This window comes from Homo sapiens, chromosome 9 (assembly GCF_000001405.40).
Source record: "Homo sapiens chromosome 9, GRCh38.p14 Primary Assembly".
In the NCBI taxonomy this organism is placed as follows: Eukaryota; Metazoa; Chordata; class Mammalia; order Primates; family Hominidae; genus Homo; species Homo sapiens.
Window position 1 is genome coordinate 85,418,642 of NC_000009.12, and position 27,535 is coordinate 85,446,176.

Genomic DNA, 27,535 nt, shown 5'->3' on the forward strand with positions numbered 1-27,535 from the left:
TCTACGCACTTAACCCCCACTGCACTGTAAGCAGAAAGGCATGACACAGATGTTGTTATTGCTGTTGTTACAGGCTCAAAAGAAGGAAGGAAACTAACAATGCGGGGAGGCTGTAGCTAGGCCTGGGTCAGGATGAGGTTTGACATCATATCTATATTATCTCATGTATTCTGCACAGAGACTTATTCCCAATATACAAATAAGGGAACTGAGGCTCAGGAAGGTAAACAAATCCCCCAAGACCTCAAAGCCTAGTGGTAGCATCTGGATTTCACTTCAGGTTTCCCTGGTTTCAAAGCCCATGCTCTTTTCATTCCTCAGAGCTACCTCTCAGCCCACTGCAGAGAGGGTGACCATCAACTCCTCCTGGAGACTAGCATTTGAGGTTCTAAGAGGCAGCCATTGCCACTGATGAGAAAAGCTTTTTAGTTGTATTTATAGAAATTATTTACATCTGAACCCATAATGTATATGTATATAAAATATATACGTATTTGAGGCAACACAAAGAGACCATATACACGGGTAAGAAAATAATTATTGCAGATGGGAGAATAAAATGTTGCTAAGTAGTGTGGATAAAATCTTTTGGGTCTGGCACAGAAGTTGTTAAGGGTCTGAGTTGGCAAGCAGGCTCACAAGATGCAAATAAGCTTTCATCTTCTCCCATGTTGACTTAGCCTTATGGAAGGCCACAGAACTGGAGATACAGCAGATGTAGCATTCCCAGCTCATGAGAAGCCCAGCAGCTACCCAAGGATGCAGCTTCTTTTACCTCCTCACCCACATGGGACATGAACAGCTGGTGTGGATGAGAGCCAAAGGGTGGGGGTCATCCGACACAGAGCAGCACAGCCACCCCAATTTCCCACCAATCTTTCATACCATGCTGATCAGCAGGCCCCAGGCCCACATGCCAACTCAGAGCTCATCCAGCCCGGATGAAGTCTCCCAGGTCAGAGACTTCACAGACACAACATCCCTCATTTGTTTTAACTGCCATTTCCACAGAACAGCACTGGGGAAAAAAGTCTGCCTCTCAAGTCACCCAGGCCTGATGTTAACACTTTAGTCTCAGGTATCAAGCTAAGAGGCAAGAGCATTCAAGAAGCAACATTGGGTCAGATTCAGTGGCTCACGTCTGTAATCCCAGCACTTTGGGAGGCAAGTTGGGAGAATCACTTGAGCCCAGGAATTTGAGACCAGCCTGGGCAACATACAAAGATGCTGTCTCTACAAGTGCAACAACAAAAAATAGCTGGATGTGGTGGCACTTGTCTCTAGTCCCAGCTACATAGGAGGCTGAGTGGGGAGGATCAGCCTTGGAGTTTGAGGCTGCAGTGATCTATGATTGCACCACTGCACTCCAGCCTGGGCAACAAAGTAAGACCCTATCTCAGAAAGAAAAAAAAAACAGAAGCCATGTTGCATAGTGTGTGCTCTACATTAGTGTTATGGGTTGAATATTTGACCCCTCCAAAACTCATGCTGAAATTTAATTGCAATGTAAGAGTAAGGGGAGGTGGGCTCTTTAAGAAGTGATTAGGGCCGGGTGCGGTGGCTCACGCCTGTAATCCTAGCACTTTGGGAGGCCAAGGTGGGCAGATTGTCTGAGCTCAGGAGTTCACGACTAGCCTGGACAACACGGTGAAACCCCATCTCTACTAAAACACAACAAATTAGCCAGGCGTGGCAGTGTGCACCTGTAGTCCCAGCTACTTGGGAGGCTGAGGCAGGAGAACTGCTTGAACCTGGGAGGCGGAGGTTGCAGTGAGCAGAGATCACAGAGCAAGATTCCATCTCAAAAAAAAAAAAAAAAAAGAAGTGATTAGGCCATGAGGGTTCCACCCTCAGTGTGCGTTTAATGATTTAACGCCTTAATTAAAAGGCATTTTAGAGCAGCTCTCTCTCTTTGCTCTCCCGCCTTCTGCCATGAGACAAGAAGGCCCTTGCCAGATACCAGCACCTTGATATCAAATTTCTCAGCCTCCAGAATAGTTAGCAAATAAATTCCTACTTATTAAAAATTATCCAGTCTCAGATAGTCTGTTATAGCAGCACAAAACAGACCACAACAATCAGTAAGAACTATGCTGGGCCAAAAGTAACAGAAAAACTCAACCCATGTTTCTTAAACACTGGGGGTTTATTTTTCACACAGCAGAAGCCCAGGAATGCAGTCCCGAGCTGGTGCAGCTTCCCAGGGGGTAAATCCCAAGGGTATGGACTTCCATCCATGCTTGTTGCTTTGCAGTTGCCATAGAGACGGAGACGCTGCATCCCCTGGCCTCACATTCACATGACAGGCAGAAAGAAGTAAGAGGAAAGGAAAAGGGGGCAGAACCTGTAAGAAGAAAGCTTTTGCTTTCATTTTGCAGATGTCCTCTCACATTTCATCAGCCTGAGCTGTATTACATGGCCACCATCAGCTGTGAGGGAGTCTGAGACAGCGATCATGCTTAGCTAGGCCCAGAGCTTCCCCCAACAAAATGGGGTTCTGTTCTTAAAGAAGAAGGGGAGATTGGACATTGGCAGGTTGGATTGGTAATATGCAATTTGTTACATATAACAACCCTGAAAAAAATTTTTCACACCCACCAGGCCCCACACAATTTTGGATAGCCCGCTCCATGTGCACAGGCCTCTCAATGAACAAAGCTTTCTCCTTCCCCCAGCCCCAGCTTCTCCCTCCTGCCCCCTACAACAGAATACAGGAGGCTAAACAAACCCAGGTGTCTGTCCTCTGCATACCCACTTCCTTCCACTAGCCACCAGCCCTTTAAGAAAACCACCAAGGAATTTATATTCCAGGCCTTGTTCTTAGAGCTTTGAAAAGGGCTTGATTTTTACAACTGGAATTTGGAAAGAAGGCCCAAGGGCAGAGCATTTTTCCAACAGAGTGAGAGCCAGCCACCAATCCCTCAGCAGGCCCTCAATTTGCTTGGTTTTCTTATTTTGACAACTAGATGCTGGCCCCTAAGTCATGCTGTAAAAATCTGTGGCTACCATGGCATGGATATTTCTTAGGGTATCTTGGAGCTATACGCAGAGTCTACATTGGTCAAAACTGTCTTCTTTCATATGTAGTGAGCTCTTTGACATCGGAGACAGCCAGGAAGAAGTTGGCCGGTCACTTCTTAAAGACAATAGAGTGCAACGTATCAGAGAAACGCTGGACATTCCTTCAGTCTCCAAGAGTCAATGATTTGGATCTTTGTGGTTTGTCTTCATTTCCCTCTCTTAAAACAGCATCAAGCAAAAGTCATGGGGCTCCCAACAAAGGGAAAGATGAATCACAGGGTTTGGAGACTGGGTGAAGGGAAGTTTGGTGGCAAACTCATCTTGAAGTTGGCTGGGATAAAATTTGAGATGGTTCTCCTGGGCACCAATGTGGAAGTTAAAAAAACAAATTTCCTGAGAAGAGATGCTAACAGCAACTTCATGGGGGAGGTGGTAGGTGGGTATTGGGGGTCACCTCTCAAGGACTCCCTAAACCACCTCAGATTTCAGAAGTTATGAACTGAAGGGACAGGAAAATACAGTAGCTATTGTTAATTTAAAAACTGACAAAATAAAACTAACATGTCTTCAGGTGGGGAAATCTGGAAATGGGAAGAGAAAATGTTACAGAAAGAAAAAGAAAACAGCCCTAGTGTAAAATTTTTAAAATCTTAACCCTAGGGTTTTAGAACCTAAGAGTTCTATTAATAAGGCACAAAAGTTCCTAATGTGCTCTAAATCACATCAAAATTGCTTCTACACATGTGGATTTTAAGATCATAAGGAATATTTGGAGGAAATATTAATAAATAAAATTCTCTTTTTTGCTACTGGGGTAATGTTTAGAAAATTACCCATATGAGGCAGACTGATACTAAAAATGACCTCAATTCTTCACCACTCCCCACACCCACATTCTTTATCATGTGACTTTGCTGCTCCTCCTATCAAGAGATGGAGTCTATTTCCCCACCCTGAGATCTGGGCTGGGATCTCTGGCCAATACAATGTGGCAGAATGAAGGTGTGTCAAATCCAAGTCTGACCTCAGAGATCTTGCTCATTTCTGCTCTTTTTTGGAATGCTACCTCCACTGTGTTAACAAGGCTGGGCTAGCCTGGGGAAAGAGGAGAGAGCTCAGAGACAAGAGCTCATTTGCCTCAGCCAAGGCCATCCTAGATCAACCTACAGCCAACAACCTCTAAACATGTGAGAAAAGTCAGCCAAGATCAGCCAAGCTGCCTGCCTGACCCACAGCTAGCCTCAGATGCATGAAGGAGACCATCCAGGAGCTGAAGAACCCAGAGACTTGGGCGCAATAAGAAACGCTTTTTGTTTTAAGCCAGGGTAATCAAACTTTTTCTATCAAGGGCCAAATAGTAAATATTTTAGACTTACTAAATATTTGGTATGGTCTCTGTTGCATATCTTATTTTGTTTTCCAAACGCTTTAAACATGTAAAACCATTCTCAGCTTGTGGGTCCTACAGAAACATACTGCAGGCCACAGTTTGCCACTCTCTGCTTAAGCCATTGAGCTCTGAGATACTTTGTTACACAGCAGAAGCTAACTCATAGACCACATGGTTTTTATTTGCCCTTGTATCTTGTTTTCATGCAAAGAGAAAACTATACAATGAGGGTCATTTCCTCCAGGAGGGAAGGTTGACTGCTACCAGAAACAAAGAGGTCATTGACCAATGTTGCACCTCAAAGCCGTTTTCCTGGTTCCTTTAATAAAATAATCACCTGAACGCCAGTCTTTGGGATGAAAAAATGATTTCTAAATTTCAGGGACTGATGGCCAAGATCCCGGGGGACTCCAGAGGAAGACACTAGCATATAATCCCAAAATGTTAAATGGGACCAGTCTTTCTTCAGTGGAAATGATTTCCAGAACAAACTGGGGCTGTCATCCTGCAGCAGAGACCAGCCAGGATCCAAGGACAGAGTGAGTCAGCCCCTTCCTCTACAATCATGAAGTCATAGAAACCCAGCCCTCTAAACCTCTAGCTCTCATTTTGTGGAGATATAAAGAAAAGGGGGAGGAAATAAGAAAGACTGAGCATGTATCTTAGTCATGCCTGTAGAGAATGAATAGACTATTTAAATTATTGGATTGGGCTGAGTTTATTGGACTGGACTAAATTTATTTTTTCCTTGCTACTCAGTGGGTTTGGAGACTTAAAAGGATGATAGATCACTTGTAGGAAATGATAGGACTGTTATGGCTTCAATGTTGTCCCCCAAGAATATATGCCACCCACCTTATTTGGAAATAAGGTCTTTGCAGATGTAATGGCGCTAAGATGAGTCATTAGGGTGAGCCATTAGGGTCATTATGGCTGTGTTACAAAAAGAGAAGAAGAAAATGACACCCAGGAGAAGAACGCCATGTGTCAACGGAGGCAGAGATTAGAGAAATGCGGCCATGAACCAAGGAAGGCCAAGATTGCGGGCAACCCCAGAAGCTAAGAGAAAAGCATGAGGCAGACTCTTTCCCAGTGCCTTCAAGAGAGCATGGTCCCACCGACACCTTGATTTCCAACTTTCGGCCTCCACAACTGCAACAGAACGAATATCTGTTGTTCTAGGCCACCCAGTTTGCCGGCATTTATTACAGCAGTGCTAGGAAACCAGCACAAAGTTTTTTGTTTGTTTGTTTGCTTGCTTTTTTGACACAGTGTCTCGCTCTGTCACCCAGGCTGGAGTGCAGTGGCGCGATCTCGGCTCACTGCAAGCTCCGCCTTCTGGGTTCACGCCATTCTCCTGCCTCAGCCTCCCGAGTAGCTGGGACTACAGGCACTTACCACCACGCCCAGCTAATTTTTTTGTATTTTTAGTAGAGACGGGGTTTCACCGTGTTAGCCAGGATGGTCTCCATCTCCTGACCTCGTGATCCACCCGCCTCGGCCTCCCAAAGTGTTGGGATTACAGGCGTGAGCCACCGCGCCCAGCCAAGTCTATTTCTTTAAAAGAGATTATTTACATCTTTTAATTAACACCAATGATTCTTTCAACACTGCTTTTCTGAAGTTCCACTTCTGAAATTCAAAGTAGTCCTTGAGGGTCCCGGAACGCTGGCTGGCAGAGATGGAGGCATTACTCTCCCCACAGATTGGTTCACGGTGAACTTAGAGACCTCCGGGGAGGGTATATTCCAGTGGCTCCGAAGACCTCTGGTTGGTTTTGGATTTGGTTTAGAAGAGTTTAGAAGGGTTTAGAAGGGAGCAGCTGATAAAAGGAGCATTTTTAGAAACGGCCTGCCTTTTCGGGGTCCTAACTTTGGTGTGCACTGAGGTCATCTGGAACAAGTGTTGGGAATGGAGATTTCTGAACCTCATCATCAGAGATTCTGGTTCACTTTGTCTAGAGAATGAAATTCAAGAATCTATATCTTTAGCAAGCACCGTTTAGTGACTCTGGCACAGCCGATTAAAACGCCTTTCCCCAGAAAAAGCCATGGAGGGATCCCACAATTCAAAGTGGCAGAGAGCTCCCATTCATTCCCTGGCCGCTTGGAAGCTGCCCTAGCGTGGGGATTGGCTAAGGTGGAAGAGCTTGGGCCTATGGTGCTCCTCACCTGCGGGGTCCCTCGGGAGGAAGATGGAGGGCGCTGGAGCAGCCCTTCCCGGTGCTCTCTCTCCCTTCCCAAATGGGGACCCGGGTCAGGACTCTGGGAGAGCGGCACCCCCTAGTGGCCACGTTTAGTTTTCCAGGTACTTAGCAACAGGCACCCGGCCAGCAGCTGAACTCCCCCACGTAAACGGGTGGCACTACATCAATAACACAGGGCAATGGAGCAACTTATTGTGATCTTGACTCATGTGGCAATAAATATCAAATCGGAACACAGAAGCGGAACATCCACAGGAAATGGCAACTGCATTTTATGGGTCTTAAATTTCATACCAGAAGAGAAAATCACTACCGGGCTCTGAAAAGCTGCAGTCAGGGTCTTGTTTTTTCAAATCTATTTCAGAAGAAAGCAAGAAAAAAACTGTAGAAGACAGGGTTGAGGTTGGGGGAGGTCAGGGGAGTCAAGCCATTTGGAAAAGCTCTTTGGAAAGAAAATCTCTGTGTAGTTTTAAGAGGGGAAAATTGAGCAGTGTAAATCAAAAGGAATTGTTTTTTAAATGCATTTGATTTTTTAAAGCAGCCAATATCTATTACAAATAAATTGTATTTTCTCCTTCTTCCTACCCCATTCCACTGATTAAATTACAAAATAGTAAAATAATAGACCTCAAAATTCAGTCTCTGCATCCAATCAATTCCTATTGTTTACAAGCATCTGTGTATTTGTAATGAAATAATTTCATAATTTCACTGAACTATGTGGCAGGCTCTTCACATACCTTATCTCTAATCATCTGAACAACCCTGCAGGGTAGATATTATTGATTACATTTTTCAAGTGAACAACTGAAGTCCAGAGTGATTGAATAAACTCACTAATACTAAGCAGAGCTGGGATTAGGACTCATAGCCTCCCAGTGCCAGAACTCAAGGACAATCTTCTCCAATACTCACCTCTCTGAAGAAACTGGAACATGTCTTGTAATCCCACTTTCCACAACAGAGGTACTGCCAGGAATGACGATGAACATTAAAAGGGTATGAGGGGCTGGACGCGGTGGCTCACACCTGTAATCCCAGCACTTTGGGAGGCCAAGGCGGGCAGATCACGAGGGCAGGAGTTTGAGCCCAGCCTGGCCAATATGGTGAAACCCTGTGTCTACTAAAAATATAAAAATTAGCTGGGCGTGGTCGCGCGTGCTTGTAGTCCCAGCTACTAGGGAGTTTGAGGCAGATGAATCGCTTGAACCCGGGAGGCAGAGGTTGCAGTGAGCTGAGATTGCACCACTGCACTCCAGCATGGGTGACAGAGCAAGGCTTTGTCTTAAACAAAAAAAAAGTTTGTGGCGGGGTGGTATGAGGGATCTTACTGAGGTAATAAAAATGTTCTAAAACTGGTAATGCCTGTACAATTCAATAAAGTTACCAAAAATCATTGAGTTGTACACTTAAAATGGGTAAGGTTTATGATAAGTAAAGCATACCTCAATAAAAAAAATAAAAATACAATGTAAGAAATCACATATTTAAACAAAAGGAATAATAAGAACTCTAGTGATATATAAGAGTTTAAGGGAGATAGATGTGGGTAGATTTGTTTCCTCATCAGCTTGGGAATGAAATTAGGGATAGATCTGATGGAGAGAAGACACCACAGGGCAGGCCCAGGCTGTATCATGCGGCCGACTGTGGACCCCTCAGGCTCTTGCTGTGGCTGAGTTTCTTCCCCTGCGATAATCACTTTCCCATCAGCATTGACAATGGCTCCTTATTTTTCCCTTTCTATCAAAACTTACTTGCAGACTTTTTATTTATACTAATGTGTAAAGGGCTGATTAGTGTTTAAACAGCTCCCCTTTCAAAGGAATTATGTCATTTTTAAACTCCAAATATTCAACCATCCCCTTCCTGATGAAGAACACGAAGAACATGTCACTTAGATGTTCAAGTGACTTCAAAATCAACAAGCAAAATGAAACTCAGTATTACCACATCCCGTGCTGCCCCACTAGCCAAGTTGTCTCCCCATTCTAAGATCCCTAACTCTGCCACCCATATTTCTCTGGCTCCTGCCCCATCTGCTAACATGGGCCTCAGCCAACTCATAACGTACCCCAACTCCAAGTCCTTCCAGCGAACCCCAGAGACGATGTCCTATCAGCTCTCTGATTGTCTGAGGCTGACCCACACCATTCGCCATTTTTACCTCTTCCTCTGCTCCAACCCTCTCCAGTGGAAACACTAGAGTTTTGAGATATAAGCACCATTTTGGCTAAGAACACCAGCCCACTGTGCACCATCCTTTGCTGGCCCATGTTCTGCTCCTGATGGCTCCTTCCATGGCTGCTGGATATGGCTGCCCGCCCAAGGACCTCTGTTGGCACAGGGGAGACTCTGGAGGCCAGAACCGAGTGCTGGTCTGCTCTGAAGTGGGAGAGTTGCTGCACCCTATCAGGAAGGTCCCAAATCAGTTCTGCCTTCCTCTCCGCTACCACATGGAAGTAAATCCAGAAAAATCATCGGAACAACATCTTCTCCTCTGAAAGCCCACCTAACAAATTGCCTTCCTGTAATAAATGAAAATATCAGCAAGAGATCATTTTTAATCTCGATAAAAAAAAATCCAAGCACTTTGCAGTGTGTTACCCCGAGCAAAGTTACACTGGAGGCAGCTTTTATAGCTCAACCTGCGGTGACCTGTCCCACTCCAGTGAAGCCTTAAATTACCCCAGCTGCCAGAGGCCAGAATTAATCCCACTTCGCTTTCGATATCCTAAGCACAGAACAGGTATCAGAAGAGGATCAAGTGTTGCAAAGCTGCTTAGTAGTGGGATGTTGTTTAAGAAATACCGTAATCAACTGGCAAAGGTACAATTAACAGACAATTGTGACGATTAATTTTTAAAAATCGGTCTGGATTTGCATGTTGGGAAGCTATGCTCCTTGTTGATCTGGTTGAATTTTGGGGTTTTTGCCTTTTGTTTTTCCTCCCCTGATTTTAATCTCCTGGGCAACACTACGATTCTTGCTTTTTCAATACATTATTCTCTAGCAGCACTTTAAAAAAATCAACCATGTTTTTTTCTCAGTTGAAAGAAGCAACAAATCTGCTTATTTGATTTATGTCTCCTGGGATTCTAAAGAGTTTAAAAATCTAGGATGTCGGCCCTTCCTGTGATCCCACTGCTGGTTGCTAGGATCTCTTGGGGAAGCATTTATTCGCTTTCACGCCCCTGTTGCACTTAGTATCTAGTTCCTAAACAAACTTTCATTATGGGGATTTCCAGGTCGCCCATTCTCCTCTTTATTAATTGCTCCTTTCTGTGTGGACAGGATCTGCCGTGTATTTTCCTAAACAGCTTTTATGCTTTTGTTACCATTACTATTCTGAGGAAAGTGAACAAGGTCTTTGGAATTACCTACCATGACTTAGAAAATAGGAAAAAATATATGATCCCCGTGTAGTGCTATTTTGCCAAGATCCCACCCATCAGAACACCTAGATGAAACAGCTAAATGTGTTCCCCTGTCCTGATATTCACAGCCTGGCAACCCATGCAGTTTGAGACTGGGCCCAGACAGCAGTAGACACACGGCCAACAAGGGAGACGTTCTCCAGCAGGTAAGGTGCCCCCAGTGCTTCTTGAGTCACAGACAGAAGAGCACCTTGTTGTGGTCCCCGTCCTTGCAGAAGGTTAAAGTCTAGCTGGGGAAATTAAATCAACAGACAGGAACCTATAGGATAACAGGGAAGTGACTGCTAAGCTATAGGGGGCTGATTCTTAGGAAAGCAGGAGTGTGGAGACAGGAAGTGGGTGAGAGGACATGAGACTGAAGCTGGACATTGAATGAGTAGGATTAAATGAGGCAGAGGGAAGAAAGGAAAGCAAAGAGGGTGCACAGTGAGAGAAAAGACACAGAGAAAGCTGGTGTCGGTGGGGGAGGGAAACGGACTCAGTCAGGGCCTGGGAAGGAAGAGGAGAGCACACTCGACCTGGGATGAGCGCAGGGTTTAATAAAGGCACTGTCTGCAAGAGTGATAGCAGGTGGAACGAAACCACACCCACATGGGATGGCAAAGGCATCCTTGGGCTAGCAACAGTCAGAAGCTGTTGTCCCCCCTAAGCCTAAAGGGACAAGGGGAGAGAGCGAGTACCAGGACTCAGAGAGGGTAGGTCTCTAGAGAGGGCCACCTGGTAGCCCCCATGGCCTTTGTAGAGGGCAGCAGCCACTCCACAGAGAGCCCGCAGGAAGTAAGCCAAGTCAAGGCATAAGCTGACTGCTTGCCACTCTCCACCATTCTCCAGTCTCCTGCTAGTGCCTTGCACCAGCTAAGACCAAGCAGTTAGCAGAGACCCGCTGGTGCTTCTAAAGATCTGAGGTAGAGACCCAGAAGAAGAATGGCCCAGAGTGGACCTGGAGGAGCCAAAGGAAGGGAGCCAGCACAGATGAAATTAACCAGAGCCAGGGCACCATTAAAATCCCACTGCAAACCTGGTTGTGCATGAGGGGCATTTCAGTGAAATGAAGCAAATGGGACCCCTGAACAGGTAAGCTATAATCAGCCTTTTTGTCTTCCAGGTCTCTGCTCAGATATTAGAGGAAGCAAGCCCCTCACACGCCAAACACATTCTAAGCATCACCCCTATTTGGGTTTCCCTCCAGCGCTTATCTGAAATTATCCTGTTCCCTTTTTCACAGATCGTCTGTTTCCAGGAGGATGGATTTCCTAAGGACCCCTGCACTGAATGCAAGCCTGCTGGGGACTCCACCTGCTGAAAACAGGACAATGATCCCTGGCGGATGAAAACTACACAAGCCAGACAAAACATGTGCTAAAACGCACCTCCAGTCTACAGAGGAGGAGCAGGAGGCAGAGCAAGAAATGGGAGGAAGAGGACTGGTGCGGTGGCTCACGCCTGTAATCCCAGCGCTTTGGGAGGCCGAGGTGGGCGAATCACGAGGTCAGGAGTTCAAGACCAGCCTGGCCAACATGGTGAAACCCCGTTTCTACTAAAAATGCAAAAAATTAGCCAGGCGTGGTAGTGGGTGCCTGTAATCCCAGCTACTCGGGAGGCTGAGGCAGGAGAATCGCTTGGGCCCTAGAAGGGGAAATTGCAGTGAGCCGAGATTGTGCCACTGCACTCCAGCCTGGGCAACAGAGTGAGACTCTGTCTCAAAAAAATAAATAAATAAGTAAAAAAGAAATGAGAAGAAGGGAGGTGACAAATGCCTTTCCTCCCAGTGTCACATCTGCTGCCCTGATGCTGCTCCCAGCAGGTAACCATAAAGCGTGAGAGGGAGAGCTCTATGCGACTCCAGGGAGATTTCTCTGCCCATCCTTAATGGAGAGCTGGAGAGAGCCACAGATCTCGTGGTCAGTCGCTACCTAAGCAGCCCCTCTCGTTTGCTGAAGCACCCTGGGCAGGTCCCGTAAGTCAGGCCTTTTCCGGTGAAAGGGTCCTGAGCCATACATGGATAGATGCTGCACCCAGTTCCTGGAGGAGGAAGGTCTATTCTGACATCAAACAGTCCGTCAGCATCGCTGTTCTAGAAACTGCTAGCATGATGAGTGGGCCGCACAAAGGTAGCGGGGTAACGATTAGCTCATCTCTAATTATATGGGATTTACGATTAGGCAGCAAGTTTATTTTGGAACACTGCAATAACAAGACGCACAGCAGTGGCGAGGACGAGGGGGTGGAGTTCTAGCTTGGCCTTTAGAATATAATAGCTTGTCATTGCCATGGAAACCAGCTCCCTGGGAGTTCGCAGGCACCTTATTCTATAATTATAAGAGATCTGATAAGGGGTGGGGGGATGGTGGTGTGTATTTTTTTTCTTTATAAATTGTATTCGGTAGCTGAAAATAGAAGAACCTAGAGAACAAAGCCTATTATTAACCACCATCCGCTAAGAGGCGGCTGCACTTCAGCTGCTTGAAGGGGCTGTTCCTGCAAGTTCTACAGATGTGCCAGGATGTCAGAGGTGGGTCAGGACTGCGACCCTGACAGGGGAGGGTGTGTCCAGGCAAGCAAGGCACAAGCACAGCTTCAGACTGAAATGGGCTCCTTCTCGTTCCCCAGCACCCGATGGACTGAATCCATCGTCCAAGGTGGGTTGCACAAGTGCCCAACCCCAGGGAAATTCGCAAGGTCTCCTCCATCCCTCTCCTTCCTTCCCTGACATTCCCAGATTCAAAGTCTGGATGGAATCCTGGCCATCTCAGCCACAGGACTTGGAACAGGTTTCTTAAGCTTTCTGAACCTCTGTTCTTTTGTGATTAAAGATTGCTGTGAGGATTAAACAAAAGTAACAAAGACGAAGGGAATGTGTCTTTGGCAAACTGTAAAGTTTGTTGCACACAGCTGGACTATCTGAGGAACTCAGCCAAACCAGCTTTGGAAGAAAATCACCCTTTATTTAAAAATCAAACCACCCATTTTCAGGTTGAGTGATTTTATCAGTAACCCCATAGTAGACATTAAAAAGAACAGGAATGTCCTGTCATTATTATAATAATAACTACAATAATATCTTTCATTTGTGGAATTTTACAGTGTTTGTTTTCACTGCATTTTATTGAGGTTGTACATTATTTTGATGGACTGAGCACTTCTGTGTTGATTCACTTATAAGGAAGCCTGGGCAGTTTGGGAAGCCTCTTTTCTGAAGAGCTTTCCCTTTTTAAAATGAGTCATGGTCATTAAAACTGAAGCCAAGCAGCATAGAGTATGGCCGTGTATGTTAAGGGCACTGAGTCAACAAAATCACCAAAGCTATTCAAATATCTGAAAAGTTCATCCAGTTGCCCTCTAAAAAGCAGGAAGTGAGTGAGAAGAATAGAGAATGTTTTGTTTAATCCATGACCATAATCAACCTACTGTCCAGAGTTAATAATCTTTAAAAGCCAAAGACACATCCGCAGAAGAATATTACCTTTACACTCTTCCCCTACTACAGCTCCCATGGAATGCCCATAGCCTCTGGAAGCAGGAGAGTGTTCTCTGCCCAGTGTCTGCTATCAGTTAAAATTAGGTATGGCTGCAATAGAAACCTGAAAAACCAATGGCTAAAGTGAAATTAAAAAGTGTTTCTCTATCAAGTAACATTCCAGAGGTAGACAGCACCACTCTGACACATTCATGGCCTGGGCTCAACCTCATGGTCCACCAACAGCAGCTAGAGTACTGGCTCTTCCAACTGCATTCCAGCAAGTACAATGGAGAAGGGACAAAGGCAAGGAGGTGGGGACGGTGGAGAGTGCAAGCTTCCTGCCTTTCAAAGAATGCTTTTAGGAGCTTCCATACAACAATTCTGTTCATATCCCATGGACCTGAACATAGGAACATGACCAACTTAGCAATAAGGGAGACTGGAAAACGAAGTCTTCATAATGGGCAACCATGTTCCCAGCTTAAAGTCAGGGGTTCTAGAAGAAGGTGAAGTGCAAACTAGGGAGCGACCAGCAGTCTCCACCCATATCTTTCATACTTTGACTCTGCTTTCACAATCCTTTTTGCCAGGTGACACAAATGAGGTCATCTCCAAGTCTTGGTTCAACTACATGAAACCAGGAAGTTTCTCTGTGGCCTGAGCTATTCTGAGGACCTTGGACTGTGCCACCCAAAAAAACACCACCTCACTTTCGTGGAACACACAGCTGTGTTATGGGAATGACAGAGTAGTTAGAACCCTACCCTTACCTTCAAAGAGCTGACCTCCTACTGTAGTCCTTCTCAATTTCTCATGAGAAGACATCACCAGCTCAAAGCTCAGGGCTGACAACAGCCAGAAACCCAATCCAAACAAAATAAGGAACTAGGCCAAAAAGAGACTTACTAGAGTGTTAAAGGAAATGTAAGACAAGAGGAGTGGCTGGCAAGATGGCCGAATAGGAAAAGCTCCGGTCTGCAGCTCCCAGTGAGATCAATGCAGAAGGTGGGTGATTTCTGCATCTCCAACTGAGGTACCGGCTCATCTCATTGGAACTGGTTAGACAGTGGGTGCAGCTCGCAGAGGGCAAGCCAAAGCAGGGTGGGGCATCGTCTCACCTGGGAAGCACAAAGAGACGGGGAACTCCCTCCTCTAGCCAAGGGAAGCCATGAGGAACTGTGCCATGCGGAATGGTGCATTCTGGCCCAGATACTATGCTTTTCCCACAGTCTTCATAGCCCGCAGACCAGGAGATTCCCTCTGGTGCCTACACCACCAAGGCCCTGGGTTTCAAGCACAAGACTGGGCGGCCATTTGGGCAGACACCAAGCTACCTACAGGAGTTTTTTTCATATCCCAGTGGCGCCTGGAACGCCAGCAAGACAGAACCATTCACTCCCCTGGAAAGGTGGCTGAAGCCAGGGAGCCAAAGGGGGCTGAAGCCAGGGAGCCAAGTATTCTAGCTCAGTGGATCCCACCCCCATGGAGCCCAGCAAGCAAAGATCCACTGGTTTGAAATTCTCAATGCAGGCGCAGCAGTCTGAAGTCAACCTGGGACACTTGAGCTTGATGGGGGCAGGGGCGTCTGCCATTACTAAGGCTTGAGTAGGCAGTTTTCCCCTTACAGTGTAAACAAAGCCACCAGGAAGTCCAAACTGGGCAGAGCCAACCGGAACACCACAAAACCACTGTAACCAGACTGCCTCTCTAAATTCCTCCTCTCTGGGCAGGACATCTCTGAAAGAAAGGCAGCAGCCCCAGTCAGGGGCTTATAGATAAAACTCCTGTCTCCCTGGGACAGAGCACCTGGAGGAAGGGTGGCTATGGGCACAGCTTCAGCAAACTTAAACATTCCTGTCTGTCAGCTCTGAAAAGAGCAGTGGATCTCCCAGCACAGTGCTTGAGCTCTGCTAAGAGACAGACTGCCTCCTCAAATGGGTCCCTGATCCCTGTGCCTCCTGACAGGGAGACACCTCCCAGCAGGGATTGACAGACACCTCATACAGGAGAGCTCCAGCTGGCATCTGGCGGGTGCCCCTCTGGGATGACGCTTCCAGAGGAATGAACAGGCAGCAATCTTTGCTGTTCTGCAGCCTCTGCTGGTGACACCCAGACAAACAGGGACTGGAGTGGGCCTCCAGCAAACTCCAGCAGACCTGCAGCAGAAGGACCTGACTGTTAGAAGGAAAACTAACAAACAGAAAGGAATAGCGTCAACATCAACAAAAAGGACGTCCACACAAAAATCCCACCCAAAGGTCACCAACACCAAAGACCGAAGGTAGATAAACCACAAAGATGAGGAAAAACCAGCACAAAAAGGCTGAAAATTCCAAAAACCAGAACGTCTCTTCTCCAAAGGATCACAACTTCTCGCCAGCAAGGGAACAAAACTGGACAGAAAATGAGTTTGACGAATTGACAGAAGTAGGATTCAGAAGGTGGGTAATAACAAACTCCTCTGAGCTAAAGGAGCATGTTCTAACCCAATGCAAGATAGCTAAGAACCTTGAAAAAAGGTTAGAGGAATTGCTAACTAGAATAACCAGTTTAACGAAGAATATAAATGACCTGGAGGAGCTGAAAAACACAACGCAAGAACTTCGTGAAGCATACCCAAGTATCAATAGCTGAATTGATCAAGTGGAAGAAAGGATATCAGAGATTAAAGATCAACTTAATGAAATAAAGCATGAAGCAAGATTAGAGAAAAAAGAATGAAAATGAACGAACAAAGCCTCCAAGAAATATGAGGCTGTGAGAAAAGACCAAACCAACATTTGATTGGTGTACTGAAAGTGACAGGGAGAATGGAACCAAGTTGGAAAACACTTTTCAGGATATCATCCAGGAGAACTTCCCCAACCTAGCAAGAACGTTCAAATTCAGGAAATACAGAGAACACCACAAAGATACTCCTCGAGAAGAGCAACCTCAAGACACATAATTGTCAGATTCACCAAGGTTGAAATAAAGGAAAAATTGTTAAGGGAAGCCAGAGAGAGAAAGGTCAGGTTACCCACAAAGGGAAGCCCATCAGACTAACAGCAGGTCTCTCTGCAGAAACTCTATAAGCCAGAAGAGAGTGGGGGCCAATATTCAACATTCTTAAAGAAAAGAATTTTCAACCCAGAATTTCATATCCAGCTGAATTAAGCTTCATAAGCAAGGGAGAAATAAAATCCTCTACAGACAAGAAAATGTTGAGAGATTTTGTCACCAGCAGGCCTGCCTTACAAGAGCTCCTGCAGGAAGCACTAAACGTGGAAAGGAACAACCGGCACCAGCCACTGCAAAAACATACCAAATTGTAAAGACCATCAACACTATGAAGAAACTGCATCAACTAACAGCCAAAATAACCAGCTAGCATAATATTGACAGAATCAAATTCACACATAACAATATTAACCTTAAATGTAAAAGGGCTACATCCCCCAATTAAAAGACACAGACTGGCAAATTGGATAAAGAGTCAAAGCCCATCACTGTGTTGTATCCAAGAGAACCATCTCATGTGCAAAGACACACATAGGCTCAAAATAAAGGGATGGAAGAATATTTACCAAGCAAATGGAAAGCAAAAAAAAAGCAGGGTGGCAATCCTAGTCTCTGATAAAACAGGCTTTAAACCAACACAGATCAAAAGAGACAAAGAAGGGCATTACATAATGGAAAATGAATCAATGCAACCAGAAGAGCTAACTATCCTAAATATGTATGCACCCAACACAGGAGCACCCAGATTCATAGAGCAAGTTCTTAGAGACCTACAAAGAGAATTAGACTCCCATACAATAGTAGTGGGTGTCTTTAACACCCCACTGTCAATATTAGACAGATCAGCAAGACAGAAAATTAACAAAGATATTAAGGACTTGAACTCAGCTCTGGACCAAGCATACCTAACAGATACAGAACTCTGCACCCCAGATCAACAGAATATACATTTTTCTCAGCACCACATCACACTTATTCTAAAATTGACCACACAGTTGGAAGTAAAACACTCTCCAGCAAATGCAAAAGAACAGAAATCATAACAAACAGTCTCTCAGACCACAGTGCAATAAAATTAGAACTCAGGATTAAGAAACTTACTCAAAACCACACAACAATATAGAAACTGAACAACCTGCACCTGAATGGCTACTGGTAAATAACGAAATTAAAGCAGAAATAAATAAGCTCTTTGAAACCGATGAGAATGCAACATACCAGAATCTCTGGGACACAGCTAAAGCAGTGTTTAGAGGGAAGTTTATAGCACTAAATGCCCACAGGAGAAAGCAGGGAAGATCTAAAATTGACACCCTAACATCACAATTAAAAGAACTAGAGAAGCAAGAGCAAACAAATTCAAAAGCTAGCAGCAGACAAGAAATATCTACAATCAGAGCAGAACAAAAGGAGATAGAGACATGAAAAAGCCTTGAAATAAATCAATGAATCCAGGAGCTGATTTTTTGAAAAGATTAACAAAATAGACCGCTAGCCAGACTAAAGAAGAAAAGTGAGAAGCATCAAATAGACACAGTAAAAAATGATAAAAGGGATACCACCACTGATCCCACAGAAATACAAACTACCATCAGAGGATACTATAAACAGCTCTACGCAAATAAACTAGAAAATCTAGAAAAAATTGATAAATTCCTGGACACATACACCCTCCCAAGACTAAACCAGAAAGAAATCAATCCCTGAATAGATCAATAAGTTCTGAAGTTGAGGCAGTAATTAATAGCCTACCAACTAAAAAAGCCCGGGACCAGAAGGATTCACAGCCAAATTCTACCAGAGGTACAAAGAGGAGCTGGTACCATTCCTTCTGAATCTATTCCAAACAATAGAAAAAGAGGGACTCCTCCCTAACTCATTTTATGGGGCCAGCATCATCCTGATAACAAAACCCAGAAGAGACACAACAAAAAAAGAAAATTTCAGGCCAATATCCCTGATGAACATTGATGTGAAAATCCTCAATAAAATACTGGCAAACCAAATCCAGCAGCACATCAACAAGCTTATCCAACATGATCAGGTCGGCTTCATCCCTGGGATGCAAGGCTGGTTCCACATACGCAAATCAATAAATGTAATCCATCACATAAACAGAACCAATGACAAAAACCACATGATTATCTCAATAGATGCAGAAAAGACCTTCAATAAAATTCCACACCCCTTCATGCTAAAAACTCTCAATAAACTAGGTATTGATGGAATGTATCTCAAAATCATAAGAGCTATTCATGACAAACCCACAGCCAATATTATACTGAATGGGCAAAAGCTGGAAGCATTCCCTTTGAAAACTGGCATCACACGAGGATGCCCTCTGTCACCACTCCTATTCAACATAGTATTGGAAGTTTCTGCCAGGGCAATCAGGCAAGAGAAAGAAATAAAGCGTACTCGAATAGGAAGAGAGGAAGTCTAATTGCCTCTGTTTCAGATGACATGATTGTATATTTAGAGAACCCCATTGTCTCAGCCCAAAATCTCCTTAAGCTGATAAGCAAAGTCTCAGGATACAAAATCAATGTCCAAAATCACAAGCATTTCTATACACCAATAATAGACAAACACAGAAGAAAATCATGAGTGAACTCCCATTCACAATTGCTACAAAGAGAATAAAATACCTAGGAATACAACTTACAAGGGATGTGAAGGACCTCTTCAAGGAGAACTATAAACCACTGCTAAAGGAAATAAGAGAGGACACAAACAAATGGAAAGACATTCCATGCTCATGGATAGGAAGAATCAATATCATGAAAATGGCCATACTGCCCAAAGTAATTTATAGATTCAGTGCTATCCCCATCAAGCTATCATTGACTTTCTTCACAGAATTAGAAAAAACTACCTTAAATTTCATATGGAACCAAAAAAGAGCTTGTATAGCCAAGCAAAGCCTAAGCAAAAAGAACAAAGCTGGAGTCATCATGTTACCTGACTTCAAACTATACCACAAGGCTATAGTGACCAAAACAGCATGGTAGTGGTACCAAAACAGATATATAGACCAATGGAGCAGAACAGAGGCCTCAGAAATAACACCACACATCCACAACCATCTGATTTTTGACAAACCTGGCAAAAACTAGCAATGGGGAAAGGAGCCTCTATTTAATAAATGGTGCTGGGAAACTGGCTAGCCATGTGCAGAAAACTGAAACTGGACCCCTTCCTTACACCTTATACAAAAGTTAACTCAAGATGGATTAAAGACTTAAACGTAAGATTTAAAACCATAAAAACCCTAGAAGAAAACCTAGGCAATACCATTCAGGATATAGGCATGGGCAAATACTTCATGAATGAAACACCAAAAGCAATGGCAACAAAAGCCAAAACTGACAAATGGGATTTAACTAAACTAAAGAACTTCTGCACAGCAAAACAAACTATCATCAGAGTGATCCCCTCCCAAGGATATCATCAGGCATACTAAAGAACGGGAGAAAAATTTTGCAAGCTATCCATCTGACAAAGGGCTAATATCCAGAATCTATAAGGAACTTAAACAAATTTACAAAAACAAACAAACAACTTCAACAAAAAGTGGGCAAAGGATATAAACAGACACTTTTCAAAAGAAGACATTTATGCGGCCAAGAAACATATAGAAAAAAGCTCATCATCACTGGTCATTAGAGAAATGCAAATCAAATCACAGTGAGATGCCATCTCACTCTAGTTAGAATGGCAATCATTAAAAAGTCAGGAAACAACAGGTGCTGGAGAGGATGTGGAGAAATAGGAATGCTTTTACACTGTTGGTGGGAGTGTAAATTAGTTCAACCACTGTGGAAGACAGTGTGGTGATTCCTCAAGGATCTAGAACCAGAAATACCATGTGACCCAGCAATCCATCAATGGGTATATACCCAAAGGATTATAAATCATTCTACTATAAAGACACATGCACACATACGTTTATTGCAGCACTATTCACAATAGCAAAGACTTGGAACCAACTCAAATGCCCATCAATGATAGACTGGATAAAGAAAATGTGGCACATATACACCATGGAATACTATGCAGCCATAAAAAAGGATGAGTTTGTGTCCTTTGCAGGGACATGGATGAAGCTGGAAACCATCATTCTCAGCAAACTAACACAGGAACAGAAAACCAAACACCACATGTTCTCACTCATAAGTGGGAGTTTAACAATGAGAACACACGGACACAGGGAGGGGAACATCATACACCGTGGCCTGTCAGGGGGTTGGGGGTTAATGGAGGGATAGCATTAGGAAAAATACCTAATGTAGATAATGGGTTGACGGCTGCAGCGAACCACCATGGCACGTGTGTACCTATGTAACAAACCTGCACGTTCTGCACATGTATCCCAGAACTTAAAGTATAATAAAACAAAAGAAAAAAAAAAGTAAGACAAGAAAATGTGCCTGGGTCCTAGGAGGACTAGGATCTGGCCCCACAAAGCCAGGTAAGCTCTCCCTCTGTGTGTGCATCCTTCTTGCTGTGGCAGGCTTTTTCCATAGAAGGTGACTGCCATCAGCTTCTGGGCTTTCTCTCTGACCGTTTCAGCACTGAAGAGAGACACTGGCCAAACGTTGTCACTGGTGCAAAGTCAGGAGACACACAGGAACAGATGCATTGGTCCAGTTTCATCAGCTGCTTATGCTCTGATAATCAGGTGTGCCCAGGTGGGCAGGGCAGCAGAGCCACATGGCTGGGGCAGGAGAAGACCTGTTCCTACAAACAGTTAGCTCGTGGGACCGATTAGAATAACCAGGTATCCATGGCAACAGTCATTCTCCAAGCACCAATGACTGGTTTTCACAACACGTAGAAATATTCTGGGAAACAGCCAAAGATCAACTGTTACTACTGAGCACTCACTCATGTGGCTCTGCTCGCTCAATTTCCAGAGCCCCAGCAAACATCTGTAACTGCTTACGTTACCTGAAGAGATAGGCTCTTTGCCCACAGCTCCAAAGAACAGACATGTGAGCCCCTTCCGAGAAATGCTGGCCTTGCCCCGAGAAGGATGCATCTTCAAATCAGCAAAGCATCAAACACCCAAGAAAGTATCTCATTGGATTTTACGTAGAAAGTAAAGGGGACTCCGTGGACCAGAGTGAGATTACACCCTAACTGGCCTGGTTATTGGCTCCTTTGCTTAATAGATAACAAGAGCTGACCTTGGGGACAGGCTGGCTCCACGTTGTGCTGTGCACAGGCCGGCTCCCGAGAGCTCGGGGCTCGTGACAGGTGACTATAACATCTAAGCACTTTCAAAGGCAGCGCATCTGCCTGCTCGAGGGTGAAGAAGATTTACAGATACACGTGCCAATGATTTTCAGAACGAACCCCAGTAGAATCTGTGGCCAGCAGAATAATCTTCCCCCTCCCAAGGATGTCACACCCTGATCTCTGGAAGCTGTGGCAAGAGGGACTTTGCAGATATAATTGAAGGCATAAATCTTGGAGTGGGAGATCATCCTAGATGATCCAGGTGGGCCCAGTCTAATCACAGGAGTCCTTAAAATTGGACAATCTTTCCTAGCTTTGGTCAGAGACAAGAGGAAAATAATCAAGACAGATTCAATGCATGAGAGGGAGTCAGCCCACCAATGCCGGCTTTGAAAACGGAGGAAAAGGCTACAAGCCATGGAATTCAAGTAGCTTCTAGAAGCTGGGAGTAGACCTCAACTGATAGCCAGCAGGGGAACAGAGATCCAGGATCTCCTGAAGCCTACAGAAAGGAGCGCAGCCCTGTGACACCTGATTGTAGCCTGCTGAGATCTGTGTCAGACTTCCAGCCTACAGAATTGTAAAATAATTTGTGTTTAAGCTGCTAAATTATTGGTGATTTGTTACAGCTGCAATGAAAAATGAATGCAGAGTCTTCACCTTTCCTGTACACACTCGAGGACAAGAATAAAAAGGTAAACATCATCAGGAAGAGTTTAATATTCACAGAGCACCAATTATTGGAGCCCTAGCTAGCTTCACCCCTTCATTATCAGACTGAGAGAAGCCAAAGGCATCAAGCAGAAATGAATTTATCCCACATTTTCTGGAGAACGTAGATTCCCAGCATGTATAAATCATGCCTAAAAAATTAATCACTCAATAAACCAATGACAGAAGGAAAGGTCTTGCAAAAAAATAACACAAGGCCGGGCACAGTGCTTATGCCTAAAATCCCAGCACTTTGGGAGGTTGAGGTGTGTGGATCGCTTGAGCTCAAGAGTTCCTGACCAGCCTGGCCAACGTGGCTAAACCCCATCTCTACAAAAAATACAAAAATGCAAAAATTAGCGGGGCATGGTGGTGTGCACCTGTAGTCCCAGCTACTCAGGAGGCTGAGGTGGGAAGATCACTTGAGCCTGGGAGGTCAAGGCTACAGTGAGCCATGATCACTCCACTGCACTCCAGCCTAGGCGACAGAGTGAGGCCCTGTCTCAAAAAGAATAAAATAAGATAAAATAAAATAAAACAAAACAAAATAAAACAGGTTGTACCTCTCTGAAGCTTTTGCTTTCTTTCCCTTTGACTTGCTGTCTAAATTTTTTCAGGTCAGGCTCATGGACCCACTCTAATTAAGACAATTCTGTGATCTGCCCAATATTCCTCTGCTTACATCAGCCAGAGATGGCTTCTAGGGCTTTCAACTAAGATCTCTGACCCACATGTTATCCTAGAGAAACAGAGGGTGATCTTCATTTGTGAATACTCCACATGTAATTCCAATGAACAGAAAGCAATGAACAAAAGTTAATCATTCATTACAAAGAAAATTCCCTACATCTTAGGACACATGCAAAGCATAGTGGATATCGGAAGCGATAATATGGGTTGATTAGGAAGAGACGATGTTGTCATCAGAAATATCCAGACAAAATTCAGGTAACGCACATAGAAGTGTGGGTGGGGAAGGGAACATAGGAAAATAAGACATAAAGTGAGTTAGCTATTACCTTCACGTATGGGAAAGAAAGTCTTCAATGGCAGCATATATGTATGTAATTGCTTTTTCTACTATATGTGCGATTTTTACATCATATCCTAATTGAAATAAAAGGTCTCTGTTTTCCTGAGCAGAATCCACTCCACCTGAGTAAGTTTCATGGCATGCACTCTGCAGGCCCATAAAATATGGAAGAACTTACATTTAATTTTTTTTTTTTGAGACAGTCTCCCTCTGCCACCCATGCTGGTGTGCAGTGGCATGATCTCAGCTCACTGCAACCTCTGCCTCCCGGGTTGAAGCGATTTCTGTGCCTCAGCATCCTGAGTAGTTGGGACTACAGGCACACACCACCATGCCTGGCTAATTTTTGTATTTTTAGTATTTTAAACCCCATCTGGTCTCGAACTTCTGACCTCAAGTGATCCGCCTGCCTCAGCCTTCCAAAGTGCTGGAATTACAGGTGTGAACCACTGCACCTGGCCTAAATTTGTATTTTAAAAAGTTTATCTGACCCTGTGTAATTGTCAGTGTTTTACAGGTAGTGTATCAGGGTGCCAGAAGCACACCTACAGGCTTACCTAGTATTGGTCCTTATTTTCTAGGACCTCTTGACCAAGGGACTCACACTTTAGAAGAAGCCTGCCTCTCCCTAATCTTCAAGTAGGACATTCCCCTCCTGAGGGGGCGGAGCTCCAACCAGAGCCCACACGGCTGCAACACCTCCTTGCTTGTCCTACACTCATCACTGCGCAAAAATGGCAAAATGACAAAAGTGAATAAAAATGACCAGAGGATACAAGCAAAATTCTGAAAAAAGCACCAGCTGCCATCCTTTTGTGCCCTCATCCCCTCCAACATGCCCAGGGCCTTTCCCTGTCCATCCTGTCAGATAAAGCTGGCTTCATGAGGCTCGAAAGTCTTGCCTTCTGGATGATTAAGAGGGCAGGGAGATTGAAAGAGGGATATAAAGAAAAGCCTCTATACCAAAAATGGGGTGTTTCTTTCCCTGTTTTATCTCCCTCCATAAATTTTAAAACAGACATAAGAAAGAGGCCTCTTAATAATTGAGCCCAAATTCAGTCACATCTATCCAGGAGGAAACGGTACTTGAGTGCTCACTCATTTCAGAACGAGTAAGTCCCTGAAGGTTTGCTGAAAATCTTCGTCTCCACCTCACTGTTCAACAACTAAGCACCAGCAAAGGCAGGTCAAATCAGTCACCCACGACAATTTTAAAATGCATCCCTTGCCAGGAAACACCAGCCCTGTAGCTACTGTCTCGATTATACTGCACTCAAATTGCCACCGAGATCATACTGGCCAGGATGGCTTTTAGATCAGTTCTCAACATCCCCTGTACACTTAGGACCTCACCTCCCACCATCTCTCTTCACCTCTTCTCAACAGTGAGAAAAACAAAAATACTAAACATATTCATTCCATCCCCGAAGTATTAATTATGAAACCATATTTCACAGCTGTTGCTAAACCATCTCTGCTTTCCCATAAGTGGCTCCCTTTAGAAAAACCAGAAAATCCTTGCTGTTATTCCTCAGATCACAGAACAGCAGTCCCCAAACTGCTCCTTTATCGACGGAGCACCAGGAGAAAAACAGAGCTCACTAACAAGGAACTCACTTCGGCACACTTCACTGGAGACTTACCCAGGCGAGCTGTGTGGGTTTTAGGAGACAGAACAGCAGTCCGTCCTTCACTGGAGCAAGGCATGGCATTGTGGATTTGAAGTAAAAGAATTCAAGCTACAGCTCCATCACTTTCTTTATGAGTCGTGAAATCATGTCATCTTTCCCATCCTTGCCGACCGCCAAAAGAGGCTCATACCCACCTCAAGGATTAGATGGATACATATAAAAGGATTTTGAAGCTGTAGGTGGTGTACAAATGAAGGCATGACATTAAAAAAATCCTTTTTCACTTTACATCAGTGCTGCCTACTCTCAGTGTATAAATTCTCAAAATAAAATCTGTTTCTTTTCACTTCAATTTTTAAAAATCTGTTTTATCTGCCTTGCCTCTGGCCTTTGAAGCCTGCCTGACACTCTTTGAGTCCAAGACACACAGGCTAGCTGCAGACACCTCCTCTCTGGACTTCTTTTCTTTTCAATACTCTGTATTGACAGTAAACACTCTGGAGTCCTTCTTCCCTCCATACCTCTTTTCCTAGATTTCCTTGCTCTTCCATTCCAACTTCACTCCTGCCTTGCACTTTGATGCTTGTCTATTCAGAAGGTATTTTTTGAGTGTCTGTTATGTGCCAGGCACAACCGTCAAAAATTTCTGCCCCCGCCAACGCCCTGCAGCTCACCGTGTGATTTATTCCTGATTTCCTGATGTTAGAATCTTGGCTTTTCTCAGATGGGTTCTGACTAGCCTGGTGCTGACATGATTTTGTGTTTGAGCTTCAACTGTCAATTCCATCATCAAGAAGGAGTTCAAGACGATCCTGGCCAACATGGTAAATAAAACCCTGTTCTCTACTAAAAATACAAAAAATTAGCTGGGTGTGGTGGTGTGCGCCTGTAATCCCAGCTACTCACGAGGCTGAGGCACGAGAATCGCTTAAACCTGGGAGGCAGAAGTTGCAGTGAGAGGAGAGCAGCCACTGCACTCCAGCCTGGGCAACAGAGACTCTGCCTCGGAAAGGGGAAAAAAAAAGGAAGAAAAGAGAAGGAGATTTGCGTATAAATGCCTATGGAACTTTCTAGAAATCAATCAGAACTTTCTAGAAATCAATCAGGTTCAAAAGAAAAAAGTAGTAAATGACAAGTAGGCACAGAAACACAAAAAATATAGGAATTTCAGTTGTCACAGCCTCTTTCATGGACTCTCACTGGCTTCCACCATCAAAAATGGTCAAGGTAACCTCAGCAACTTTCCATTCTCTCCTCTAGGCTGAAACCTCACCTGTGTCCCCTTCCCTCTGTGGTGATGTTGGATGCACCCATTATGTCCACCATGGCTGTGCTCCCTCCAGAACCATTTAGAAGATTAGAGAGAAAAACAAAACAAAACAAAATGCTTTTAAAGCAGAGGTTTCAAGTAATTGAAACAGCAGATTGACTCGTGTTCAGTTTCCATTTCCAGCAGTTTTGATGCACTGTCTCTATCCACGAATGATAGTTTGGGATTAAAAAAAATAAGTAAAAAGCTTCATTTGTGGTACCAGCTTGAAAATTTGCACCTAGATGGTAGATTTTGTTGGTTTGCTTTTTCTACGCACTTTAAAATATTTTTAGTTTGGCATAATGTTCACTTAAAAAAAAAAGTGCAGAATTTCCAAGTTAGGTTGGAAACCAGCTGGTGATTAGATCTAACGGTCCCAACCAATAAATCAAATACCTATGAAAGCAAAAATATCCAAAGTTACAGTAACACTGTAAACAGAAAATTAATAATCTAACATTCTCCAGGAGGAATTTATACCAACCAGAGCATCTGTTCCAGATGAAGCCCTGGAGCAGAAGAGCAGAGAAAGGAAGTTAAAAGGGATTTCTGTACCACTTCCCATCACTGCAAATCTCCATTTCAGAGACATTACAGGCTTTGCTGCCTGTAAAGCTGTGGCCACTCTCCTGCTGTAATGAAGCCACTTTCTGAAATGGCTATTGTTTGTTTCTTACTTTAGTAGTAATTAGTGCTATCTACCAAATATTTCTCTCTCTCTCTCTCTCTCTCCCCTAAGCATATGACAGAATTAAACTTCTCACCACCTTAAGATTATGTATAACCATATACCTTGCTTTGGCCAGATAAAAGTGGTATGTGTCACTTCTGGAAAGAAGTTTTAACACCAGTGCATGAGTACCTTTATTCTTTTCCCTCTGCTAAAGTGGTCAGATGCTCTCCAGATTGCAGCTGCTCCAACCACCTGGGTCTTGGAGTGACCTTGCTCACCTATGATGGACACTCAGCAGGAGTGAGAAATAAATCTATCATGTTAAGGCACTGAGAGCTGGGTTTGTTTGTTACTGCAGCATAACCTAGCCCATGCTGACTTGCATTCATATCTCCTAAGCTAGGGTTGCCAGATCTTCCT

General features: G+C 44.3%; 1 long non-coding RNA gene across 1 annotated transcript in view, besides 2 other annotated features; it reads right to left on the reverse strand.

The window, feature by feature from the left end:
- The window catches only part of LOC105376121 (uncharacterized), a 42,215-nt gene extending 16,474 nt beyond the window's left edge, over positions 1-25,741 (reverse strand). The window contains exons 1-2 of the long non-coding RNA XR_001746810.2: positions 25,652-25,741; positions 25,143-25,363 (exon numbers count right to left, since the gene is read on the reverse strand). This is a non-coding gene — a long non-coding RNA (uncharacterized LOC105376121). The remainder of the gene's footprint in view (positions 1-25,142; positions 25,364-25,651) is intronic.
- Positions 2,333-2,382: an enhancer, noted in NCBI's record as "active region_28512". NCBI's record gives its function as "activates an Ori minimal core promoter by ATAC-STARR-seq in GM12878 lymphoblastoid cells {active_cell/tissue: GM12878}" and the evidence as "EXISTENCE:reporter gene assay evidence [ECO:0000049][PMID:35858748]".
- Positions 6,619-6,718: a silencer, noted in NCBI's record as "silent region_19986". NCBI's record gives its function as "represses an Ori minimal core promoter by ATAC-STARR-seq in GM12878 lymphoblastoid cells {active_cell/tissue: GM12878}" and the evidence as "EXISTENCE:reporter gene assay evidence [ECO:0000049][PMID:35858748]".
- Positions 25,742-27,535: the final 1,794 nt, after the last annotated feature.